Source organism: Homo sapiens, chromosome 9 (assembly GCF_000001405.40).
Source record: "Homo sapiens chromosome 9, GRCh38.p14 Primary Assembly".
Lineage (NCBI taxonomy): Eukaryota > Metazoa > Chordata > Mammalia > Primates > Hominidae > Homo > Homo sapiens.
The window spans coordinates 5,650,870-5,663,288 of NC_000009.12; the positions used below are offsets into that span (position 1 = coordinate 5,650,870).

Genomic DNA, 12,419 nt, shown 5'->3' on the forward strand with positions numbered 1-12,419 from the left:
AAGTGGCATTGCATCACTGTAGGCCCCCAGGTGGATGCAGGGAATGTTAGTAGGGCTTTACTAATGTGGAAATGCAGGGACTCTTGTGCTCAAGGGCAGGATGCAGCCTGTTAAGAGCTGGACTGAAAATGACACCATGCTGTAACTGTTTAGGTCTCATGCAGGTGGTACAGGACCCAGTGTGAGCTCTCTCTCTGGAGCAGTGTCATCACATGGTCTCTAAGAAGTTCTCTATGCTAGTCTCTGGACCCCCTCTCTGTAAGCTAGGGTTGCAGGAGTCCGTGGTGGGAGTGTGAGCTGCTGGGTATCTCTCATTTACCTTTCCCCCACACTGGAGATCTGCTCTGTGCTCCAGGTCGATAAAGGCCAAGCAAACAACCTTGCTTCCCTCTTCTTCCTTGCTTTAGGTGTTTCCTGTCACTTCTCTGCTAAATTCCAGTGTTGTGTCTTAGATGTTCTGTTGAAAGTGTGACTCCTCCCTGTTTGGGTTTTTTTTTTGTGAAGGAGGCAAGGGCTGATGTCTCTAGTCAGCTATCTTGAAGCCCCTCCTCTATTTTTGCTGTTGTTGCCTGTGCTTTTCAGGTCTTATCCAAAAAATTCCTTGCTCAGACCAATATAATGAATCATTTCCTTTATGTTTTTCTTCCAGTAGTTTCATAGTTTTGGGTCTTACATTTAAGTCTTTAATCTTTTTTTTTTTTTTTTTTTTTTATTGAGACAGTCTCACCCTGTCCTTCATTCTTGAGTGCAGTGGTGTGATCTCAGCTCACTTCAACCTCCACCTCCTGGGTTCAAGTGATTCTCCTGCCTCAGCCTCCCGAGTAGCTGAGATTACAGGTGCATGCCACCATGCCCAGCTAATTTTTGTATTTTTTTTTATTAGAGATGGGGTTTTGCCATGTTGGCCAGGTTGGTCTCGAACTCCTGATCTCAAGTGATCTGCCCACCTCGGCCTCCCAAAGTGCTGGGATTACAGGCATGAGCCACCGCACCTAGCCTCTTTAATCTATTTTGAAATGAGTTTTGTGTATAGTAAGATAAGGGTCTAATTTCATTCTTTTGCATGTGGCTATCCAGGTTTCCCAGCACCATTTATTAGATTATCCTTTCTCCAATGTGTGCTCTTGGCACCTGTTTTTTGAAAATCAGTTGGCTGTAAAAGCATGGATTTATTTCTGGGCTATTTTGTTCCATTGTTTTATTTGCTTTTATTGCCAGTACCATGGTGTTTTGGTTAATACAGCTTTGTAGTATATTTTGAAGTCAGGTAGTGTAATTCCACTAACTTTGTTATTTTTGTTCAAGATTGCTTTGGCTATTTGAGGTCCTCTGTGGTTCAGTATGAATTTTAGGCTTGTGTTTTCCACTGCTGTGAGGCATATCATTGGTATTTTGGTAGGGATTACATTGGATCTGTAGATCACTTTGGGTCATATGGACAATTTAACAGTATTAATTTTTCCAATCTATAAACATGGGATATCTTTCCATGTATTTGTGTTTTCTTCATTTTATTACTGTTTCATAGTTTTCATTGTAGTGATCTTTTACTTCTTCAATTAAATTTTTTGTTCTTTGGGTTTTTTTATAGCTATTAATAAGTGGGATTGTTTTGTTGATTTCTTTTTTCAGCTAATTCACTATTAGTGTATAGAGGCATTACTGGTTTTTGTATATTGATTTTGTATTCTACAACTTTACTGAATTATTTTGTTCTACCACTTTTTTGGTGGCATCTTTAGGGTTTCTATATGTAAGATTGTGTTACCTGCAAATAGTGTTAATTTGACTTCTCCTTTCCAATTAATTTGGATACTTTTTATTCTTTTTTTTTTCTTGCCTAATTGCTCTGGCTAGGATTTCCAGTACTGCGTTGAATAAAAGTGGTGAAAGATAGTATCCTTGTCTTATTCCAGATTAGAGGAAAAGATTTCAACTTTTCCTTATTCAGTAGTGTTAGCTATGGGTTTGTCATATATGGCTTTTATTGTGTTGAGTTACATTCTTTCTATTCTTAATTTGTTAAGAGTTGTTGTCAAGAATAGATGTTGAGTTTTGTCAAATGCTTTTTCTGCCTCTCCTGAAATGATCATGGGGTTTTTGCCTTTTATTCTGTTAATGTAATATATCACATTTATTGATTTGTCTGTGCTGAACCATCCTTGCATTCCTGGGATCAGTCCTACTTGATCATGATGAATTGTTGAATTTGGTTTGCTACCATTTTGTTGAGGACTTTTGCATCTGTGTTCATCAGGTATTTATTTTTGTGAATGTTGACGTCTAGTTGTTTGAATACTATTCATTGCAAAGACTGTCTTTTCTCTGTTGTACTTCCTTTCCTTGTTTGTTAAAGATCAGTTGGCATATATTTGTGTGTGTCTATTTCTGGGCTCTCTATTCTGTTCCATTGATTGATTTGTTTATTATTTTGTTAATACCACACTTTCTTGACTACTTTAGCTTTATAGTAAGTCTTGAAGTCAGGTAATGCCGGTCTTCCAACATTGTCTTCTCCAGTATTAAGTTGCTAGTCTTGGTCTTTTGCCTCTCTGTATCAACTTTAGAGTGACTTTGTTGATAGCCAGAAAATAAATTGCTGGGAATTTGATTGAGATTGTATTAAATCTGTATATCAAGTTGGGAAGAACTGACATATTGTGACAGTATTGAGTCTTTGTATTCATTAACATGGTATATGTCTCCATTTATTTTTTTCTTTCTTTCTTTCTTTCTTTCTTTTTTTGAGACGGAGTTTCACTCTGTCACCCAAGCTGGAGTGCAATGGCGCAGTCTTGGCTCACTGCAGCCTCCGTCTCCTGGGTTCAAGTGATTCTCCTGCCTCAGCCTCCCGAGTAGCTGTGACTACAGGTGCACACCACTACGCCCGGCTAATTTTTGTATTTTTAGTAGAGATGGGGTTTCACTGTGTTGGCCAGGTTGGTCTCAAACTTTTGACCTGGTGATCTGCCTGCCTCAGCCTCCCAAAGTGCTGGGATTACAGGCATGCACAACCACACCCAGCCTGTCTCCATTTATTTAGCTCTTCTTTGGTATCTTTCATTAGTGTTTTGTAACTTTTTTCTATAGATAAACGTATTGTGTTACATAGTTTTTTAAAAATGCTTTTTACATTTTTTATGTTTTTGAGACAGCATCTTACTCTATCACTTAGGCTGGAGTGCAGTGACATGATCTCAGCTCACTGCAACCTCTGCCTCCCAGGCTCGAGCAATCTCCCACTTCAGCCTCCTGAGTAGCTGGGACTACAGGTGTGTGCCACCATGCCCAGCTAATTTTTGTATTGTTTTGTTTGTAGAGACAAGGTTTCACCATGTTGCCCAGGCTGCAAGTGTGTATTTTTTGTTTTTGTTTGTTTGGTTTCTTTTTTTTGGAGGTAGAGTCTCACTCTTGCTACCCAGGCTGGAGTGCAATGGTGTGGTCTTGACTCACTGCAGCCTCTGCCTCCCGGGTTCAAGCGATTCTCCTGCCACATTCTCCCGAGTAGCTGGGATTACAGGTGACTGCCACCATGTCCAGCTAATTTTTGTAATTTTTTAGTAGAGACGGGGTTTCACCATGTTGGCGGGCTGGTCTCGAACTCCTGACCTCAGGTGATTTGTCTATCTTGGCCTCCCAAAGTGTTGGGATTACAGGCGTGAGCCACTGTGCCCAGCTTTGTTTTTGTTTTTGAGATTCAGTTTCTGTTGCCTAGGGTGGAGTGCAGTAGCGCAGTCTCAGCTCACTGCAACCTGTACCTCCCAGGTTTAAGCAGTTCTTCTGCCTCAGCCTCCTGAGTAGCTGGGATTAATTTTTGTATTTTTAGTAGAGATGTAACCACACCTGGCTAATTTTTGTATTTTTAGTAGAGATGGGTTTCACCATGTTGGCCAGGCTGGTCTTGAACTCCTGACCTTAAGTGATCTGCCTGCCTTGGCCTTTCAAAGTGTAGGGATTACAGGCATGAGCTACTGCGCCTGGCCTGCAAATGTGTTTATAATGACAAATTCCACTTTTTTATTGCTGGTATATAGAAAATTTATTGACTTTTGTATATTAATCTTGGATCCTGTAACCTTGCTATAGTTACTTATTCTAGGAGGATTTTTGGGTCAATTCTGTCAAATTTTCTACATAGATGATCACATTATCTATGAGTAAAGACAGTTTTATTTATTCCTTCCCAATCTCTTTACCTTTTATTCCTTTTTGTGGTCTTATTGAATTAGCTGGGACTTCCACTATTCTGTTGAAAAGCTGCTGTGAGTGGAGACATCCTTCCCTTGTTCCTGATCTTAGCAGGAAAGCGTTGAGCTGTAGGTTTCTCATAGATCTTCTTTATCACGTTGAAAAAATTTCTTTCTATTCCCGAGAGGTTTTTTTAAAATCATGAATGAGTGTTGTTCTGTAGTTTGCTCAGTGTTTTTTGTTTATTTGTTTTGTTTTATGGAGACAGAGTCTCGCTCTTTTGCCCAGGCTGGAGTGCAGTCTCACAATCTCAGCTCACTGCAACCTCCACCTCTCAGGTTCAAGTGATTCTCCTGCCTCAGCCTCCCAAATAGCTGGCATTATAGGCGCCTGCCACCACACCGGGCTAATTTTTGTATTTTTAGTAGAGATGGGGTTTCACCATATTGGCCAGGCTGGTCGCAAACTCCTGACCTCAGGTGATCTGCCAACCTCAGCCTCCCAAAGTGCTGGGATTACAGGCATGAGCCGTGGCGCCCGGCCTTGCTCAGCGTTTTTATCTTGGTTGTTAGATTTGTTAAGTGCTTTTTCTGTGTTTATTGAAATAATCATGTGATTTTTCTGTAGCCTGTTGATGTGATGGATTATATTAATTGAGTTTTGAATGCCGAACCAGGCTTGTATTTCTGGGGTATATCGTATTTGGTTATGGTGTTTAATTTTTTTTAATACCTTGTTGGATTTGATTTGCTAATATTTTGTTGAGAGGTTTTATATCTATGTTCATAAGAGATGTTGATCTGTAGTGTTTTTTTGTTTTTGTTTTTGAGACAGAGTCTCGCTTTGTCACCTAGGCTGGAGTGCAGTGTTGTTGTGATCTCGGCTCACTGCAAGCTCTGCCTCCCAGGTTCACGCTATTCTCCTGCCTCAGCCTCCTGAGTAGCTGGGACTACAGGCGCCTGCCACCACGCCCAGCTAATTTTTTTGTATTTTTAGTAGAAACGGGGTTTCACTGTGTTAGCCAGGATGGTCTCCATCTCCTAACCTTGTGATCCGCCCACCATGGCCTCCCAAAGTGCTGGGATTACAGGCATGAGCCACCGCGCCTGGCCTGTAGTTTTCTTTTCATGTAATATCCTTTTCTGATTTTGGTATTAAGGGAATGCTGGACTCAAAATTAGGAAGTACTCCTGCTTCTATCTTGTGGAAGGCTTTGTAAAGAATTGGTGTAATTTCTCCCTTAAACGTTTGGTAGACTTCACCTATGAACACATTTAGTCCTGGTTCTTTCTGTTTTGGATGATTATTAATTATTAATTCAGTTTCTTTAATAATACAGGCGTAGGTTTAGGTCTTTGTTTTGGTTGATATGCTTGCAATGTTGAAAGCCGATAGTTTAATATCAATATTGTCTTTTATTTTACTGTAAAAATACTTTGAATACTCTGTTATCTTAAATTTTATTTGTGTATTTTTATGAGATATTGATAAAAAATACAACTTTTTTTTTTTTTTAATCACACAGCCTAGTGTGTTAATTGTAACCTACAAGGAGCCTGCAAAATCATCTACTCAGTTTGGATCCTACAAGCAAGCTGAATGGAGGCCAGATAGTACCATGATAGCTGTATCAGTAAGTAGATTTTACCGCTAAATAGTGTTTTCTTATGAAATCATTACATCGCATTTAAATTTGATTCTCTTAGATGACTTTCTTTCAGTCTTTTGCACTCATAAGTATTTATTTTATTCTGATAGGAATTGCTTTACTGATTATTCTATGTGGATTACTCCTACTATAGCTTTTCTTCTGACTCTGCTACTTCCTTAACAAAGCACCTATATCCCTAAACATAGCACCTGTATCCTTTTCTGTTTGTTGTTCTCACTTTACTGTTTTGCCCTTGAAGTCTAACTGCTTTACTAATTATTCTGTGCGTGTTACTCCTACTATAGCTTCTGTTTTGACTCTGCTGCTTCCTTCCATCCCTAAACATAGCACCTATATCCTTTTCTGTTTGTTGTTCTCACTTTACTGTTTTGTCCTTGAAGTCTTATCTAGTTTTTTAAAACATATTCACATGATATTCTTGAATTTATATTTAAATTCCTCCCTTCCATTCCAAAAGATATTCCAGAAAATAATAAGCTTTATGTGCATATGTTATACTAAAATTTCCATATCCATTTGGATCTGTTTCTCCTTTTTTTCTTCTGTTCTATTAAACGTGCCTAGATATGTTTAATTTTACCTTTTCAGTTCATGTTTCATCACTGTCTAAGGCTGTCATTATGACTTAATATGCATTAGCAGTAATATATGTGGTTAATTAACATTATTGAGCACCTCCTATCCGATGAGTACAATTGTAATCAGTTTACATGGATCATCCCATTTAATCTTTAGATAAGTGCTTTGAAGTAGATATTATTATCCTTCATAATGGATGTGTAAATTGAGGATCTGAAAAATTGTCTTATCCAAGGTTACATGCGTAGTGTATATTAGAGAGATAAGGTATAAACTTAGCTACTCAGCTTCCATTTACTATATCCTTATATCTAATTTATCTCTTTGCGTTGGTCCCTTTCTAGTCCATACTGTATATAACACTGACTAGGTTAATAGTCTGAAATGTTCATATGATGAAAAATACTGAGTAGTTCTACGCTTCCTATAGCAGGAGTTTGCAGATGACTGACCATGTACCAAATATGCCCTGGTGCCTGTTTGTACACAGACCATAATGTAAGAATAGTTTTTACATATTTAAATAATCAAAACAAGTCAAAGAAGAATATTTGCTACAGTTGAAAATTATGTGATACTTAAATTTCAGTGTCCATAACTAAAATTTTACTGGGGCACGAAAATCCTCACTGATTTATGTATTGTCTGTAACTTCTTTCAAGCTACAATAGCAGATTGAATTGAAGTTCTTACAGCAAGTGTATGTGGTGCTCTCATTGCTTTGCTCTTCTGTTCAATGCACTGTGTAGTAACACAGTTGTAACTTCATAACATTTCAAGTGTACACATATTGCCATTCTGTGACATTTTATATTATTTTTATTCTAGTACATACTCATGTCAAAAGAACCAAAGAAGACAAAAAGACTTTGTTTTGTTTTTAAAGCACACTGTAGTGTGGTTTCTTTTATTATTGAATTAGATGGCAAAATATTGTATTTATTATTCAATGGCACTATAGCTATGCCAAAAGAATATAAGCTGACATCACTAGACTAAGCACTTATCAGAATGTACTGAAGGTTAAGTTAGAAGAATTAAAAAATTTAGCACAGAACAGCTCACCACAAAATTCCTTCACAAAAATAAAATATGAAAATGAAAGTGCAGTAAAAGTAAGTTTGCTTAGTTTTTGATAAATTGACAGATGTTATAATACTGCTCAGTTGTAAATTTCAGTGGTCCATGTGAAGTATGAATTGACTAAGAATTACTGTGAATGACCTGCAGAACAATTCCAGATGAAAAAAATTCTCAAAGGAGTTGAGAAAATACTAATTCAGTACAACCCGAAGTAGAATCTAAGAAGTTGTATTAATTGATAGTAGTAAAAATCCACATGGAGCAGCAAAAGACTTAGTTGGACAGATTTACAAAGTTTGTGAAAATATAAGACTTTTAAAACCTATGGTTAGTGTAAGTTTTTTCAGAGATGGAAGCAGGAATATCTTGAATTGCCCTCCTCCACAGCTGTTATGGCTTGGGTAGTGATAAAAGTTTATTGGAAAGTTTTTTTGTTTTTTTTTTTACCGAGACTGACTTTTTTTTTTTTCTTTACTTGAAGGACCACCATCTACCACTTAACAGACACTAAATAACTTTGGAAAATAGCTTTTGCTGTATTAGAAAATGTTTTCAAATATGAATTATGTAAAATGTCATTAAGGACCAGCATTAATAGATGAAAATTTGCACTCAATTTTGATGATAGGGAAAAGTACTTTAAACCCCAATTTACCAAAAAGGTTATTTCCACAAAAAGAATCTAATTCTCATTAGTGGATGTATATTACCAAAAAAAGTTGTACTTTATGTTAAATGTTACAGTACAATATGTTAAAGAACTATTCTTTTCCCATTGAACGGTCTTGGTAGTCTTGTTGAAAATCAATTGGCCATTGGTATTTGGGGTTATTTCTGGATGCTCCATTCTGTTTCATTGTTATATATGTCTGTCCTTATTCCAGTACCACAGTTTTTAAATTACTGTGGCTTTGTAGTAACTTTTGAAATCAGGAAGTGGAATCCTCCAATTTTATTGTTGTATTTCAGGATATAAGTCATGTCAACCCATTGTCAACCCATTGTAAGTTGAAAATACCATAAGTAAAAAATTTAACAGCCCCAAACATCCATCATAATGTCGTAAGTTGAACCATCATAAGTTCAGTATCATCTATAGTTTTGACTATTCTGAGCCAGTCCCTAAGATGCTATATGACTGTTTGAACTGGTTTTCTATTTCTGTAAAAAATACCATTGGGAATTTGGTAGAGACTGCATTGAATCTGTAGTTCTCTTTGGGAAGCATTAATTTAAGTCTTCCAGCCTATGAACATGCAATGTCTTATCAATTATTTAGACCTTCAATTTCTGTAAGGAGTGTTTTCTGGTGTTCAGTATGCAAGTCTTTTTCCTGCTTCATTAAATTTATTTTTAAGTTTTAAATTTCTTTTTGATGCTATTGTAAATGGAATTGTTTTTAAGTTTCCTTTTCAGTTGTTCATTCCAAGTGTGTAGACATATATCTGATTTTTTCCAACTTAACTTCAGGGTACATGTGTAGGATGTGTGGGTTTGTTGCATAGGTAAACATGTGCTATGGTGGTTTCCTTGCACAGATTATGCCATCACCTAGGTATTAAGCCCAGCATCCATTAGCTATTCTTCCAGATGCTCTCCCTCATCCTGCGCCCTGCCCCTCCATCCTCTAACAGACCCCAGTGTATGTTGTTTCCCCCATGTGTCCATATGTTCTCATCATTCAGCTCCCACTTATAAGTGAAAACATGTGGTATTTGATTTTCTGTTCCTGTGTTAGTTTGCTGAGGATAATGGTTTCCAGCTCCAACCATGTCCCTGCAAAGGATATGATCTTGTTCCTTTTTGTGGCTGCATAGTATTCCATCGTGTATATGTACCACATTTCTTTTATTCAGTCTATCATCGGGGGACATTCAGGTTGATTCCATGTCTTTGCTATTGTGAATAGTGCTGCAGTGAATATATGCATGCATGAATGTTTGTAATAGAATGATTTATATTTTGGGGGGTATACCCAGTAATGAGATTATTGGGTCAAACGGTATTTCTGCCTCTAGGTCTTTGAGGAATTGCCTACTGTCTTCCATAATGGTTGAACTAATTTCCACTCCTACCAACAGTGTAAAAGCATTCCTTTTTCTCCACAACCTAACCAGCACCTGTTGTTTTTTGACTTTTTAGTAATAGCCATTCTGGCTTGTGTGAGACGGTATCTCATTGTGGTTTTGACTTGAATTTCTCTAATAATCAGTGATGTTGAGCTTTTTAAAATGTATTTGTTGGCCACATTTATGTCTTCTTTTGAGAAGTGTCTGTTCATGTCCTTTGCCCACTTCTTAATGGGATTTTTTTTTTCTTGTAAGTTATTAAGTTCATTGTAGATGCTGGATATTAGACCTTTCTTTGTCAGATTAATAGATTCCAAAAATTTGCTACCATTCTGTTGTTTATCTGCTCACTCCAATGATAGTTTCTGTTGCTGTGCAGAAGCTCTTCAGTTCGATTAGATCCCATTTGTCAATTTTTGCTTTTGTTGCAATTGCTTTTGTCATCCTTGTCGTGAAATCTCTGCCTGTGCCTGTGTCCCAAATGGTATTGTCTAGATTTTCTTCCTGGGTTTTACATTTAAATCTTTAATCAATCTTGAGTTCATTTTCCTTTAGGGTGTAAGGAAGGGGTCCAGTTTCAATTTTCTGCATACAGCTAGCCAGTACTCCCAGCACCATATATTACATGGGGAATCCTTTCCCCATTGCTTGTGTTTGTCAGGTTTGCTAAGATCAGATGGTGTAGGTGGGTGTTCTTGTTTCTGGGTTCTCTATTCTGTTACGTTGGTCTATGTGTTTATTCTTGTGCCAGTACCATGCTGTTTTGGTTACTGTAGCCCTGTGTTACAGTTTTAAGTCAGGTAGCATGATGCCTCTGGCCTTGTTCTTTTTGCTTTGATTGCCTTGGCTATTCGGACTCTTTGTTGGTTCCATATGAATTTTAAAATAGCTTTTTTCTAATTCCGTGAAGAATGTCAGTGGTAGTTTAATGGGGATAGCATTGAATCTATAAATTACTTTGGGTAGTATAACCATTTTCACAATATTGACTCTTCCTAGCCATGAACATGGAATGTTTTTCCATTTGTTCGTGTCATCTGTCATTTGTTTGAAAGTTGGTTTGTAGTTCCCCTTGAAGAGGTTCTTCACCTCCCTTGTTAGCTGTATTGCTAGGTATTTTATTCATTTGTGACCAACTGTGAATGGGAGTTCATTCATGATTTGGCTGTCTGCTTGCCTGTTGATGTATAAGAATGCTAATGATTTTTGCACATTAATTTTCTATCCTTAGACTTTGCTGAAGTTGCTTATCAGCTTACAAAGCTTTTGGGCTGAGGCAATGGGGTTTTCTAATATAGGATCATGTCATCTGCAAACAAAGATAGTTTAATTTTCTCTCTTCCTATTTGAATACCCTTTATTTCTTTCTCTTGCCTGATTGCCCCAGCCAGAACTGCCAATACTATGTTGAATAGGACTGGTGAGAGAGGGCATCCTTGTCTTGTGCCTTTTTTCAAGGGGAATGCTTCCAGCTTTTGTCCATTCATTATGATATTGGCTGTGGGTTTGTCATATATGACTCTTATTATTTTGAAGTATGTTCCTTCAATATCTGGTTTATTGAGAGTTTTTAACCTAAAGCGATGTTGAATTTTATTAAAGACCTTTTCCGCATCTATTGAGATAATCATGTGGTTTTTGTGTTCAGTTCTGTTTATGTGATGAATCACATTTATTGAATTGTGTATGTTGAACCAGTCTTGCATTCCGGGGATGAAGTCTACTTGGACATGATGGATAAACTTTTTGATGGGCTACTGGATATTTGCCAGTATTTTGTTGAGAATTTTTGCATTGATGTTCATCAAGCATATTGGCCTGAGGTTTTCTTTTTTTTTGTTTTGTCTCTGCCAGGTTTTGGTATCAAGATGATGCTGGCCTCATAGAATGAATTAAGGAGGAATCCCTAATTTTCAATTGTTTTGGAATAGTTTCAGTAGAAATAATACCAGCTCTTCTTTGTACCTCTGGTAGAATTCAGCTGTGAATCTGTCTGTCCTGGGCTGGTTTTTTTTTTTGGGTTGCTAGGCTCTTTATTACTTCTCAATTTCAGGACTCATTATTGGTCTATTCAGAGATTCAGTTTCTTCCTGGTTCAGTCTTAGGGAGGGTGTATGTGTCCAGAAAAGTATCCATTTCTTCTAGATTTTCTATTTAATGTGCATTGATGCATTTATAGTATTCTCTGATGATTGTTTGTATTTCTTTGGGGTCAGGATGATATCCCCTTTATCATTTCTGATTGTGTTTATTTAAATCTTCTCTTTTCTTCTTTATTAATCTAGCTAGCAGTCTATGTATTCTATTAATTTTTTTAAATAACCAGCTCTTGGATTCATTGATCGTTTGAATGGTCTTTCATGTCTCTATCTCCTTCAGTTCTGCTCTGATCTTGGTTATATCTTGTCTTCTGCTAGCTTTTGGGTTTGTTCTTGTTTCTCTAGTTCTCTTAGTTGTGGTGTTAGGTTGTTAACTTGAGATCTTTGTAGCTTTTTGATGTGGGCATGTAGTGCTATAAATTTCCCTCAACACTGCTTTAGCTGCATCCCAGAGATTCTGGTACATTGTCTCTTTGTTCTCATTAGTTTCAAAGGACTTCTTGATTTCTGCCTTAATTTCATTATTTACTCAAGTCACTCAGGAGCAGGCTGTTCAATTTCCATGTAGTTGTGTGGTTTTGAGTGAATTTCTTAATTCTTCTGAGTGAATTTTTTTGAGTGTTGTGGTCTGAGAGACTGTTATCATTTCAGTTCTTTTGCATTTGCTGAAGAGTGTTTTACTTCCGATTATGTGATCAAATTTAGAGTAAGTGCCTTGTGATGATGAGA

At 37.2% G+C, this 12,419-nt stretch overlaps 1 protein-coding gene across 10 annotated transcripts in view; it reads left to right on the forward strand.

The window, feature by feature from the left end:
* Positions 1 to 12,419, forward strand: part of RIC1 (RIC1 partner of RAB6A GEF complex) — a 149,527-nt gene that overhangs the window by 21,763 nt on the left and 115,345 nt on the right. For 9 of the 10 annotated variants that reach the window (XR_428426.4, XR_007061331.1, XR_007061330.1 and 6 more), the window contains exon 2: positions 5,714 to 5,821. Coding sequence is in view for 5 of the 10 variants with exons in the window: in NM_020829.4 (NP_065880.2) it covers positions 5,714 to 5,821 (108 nt within the window). In the remaining 5 variants the exon portion in view is untranslated. Of the gene's footprint in view, positions 1 to 5,713; positions 5,822 to 12,419 lie in introns of those variants that run through there. The other variant, XM_017014936.2, reaches the window with a different exon arrangement.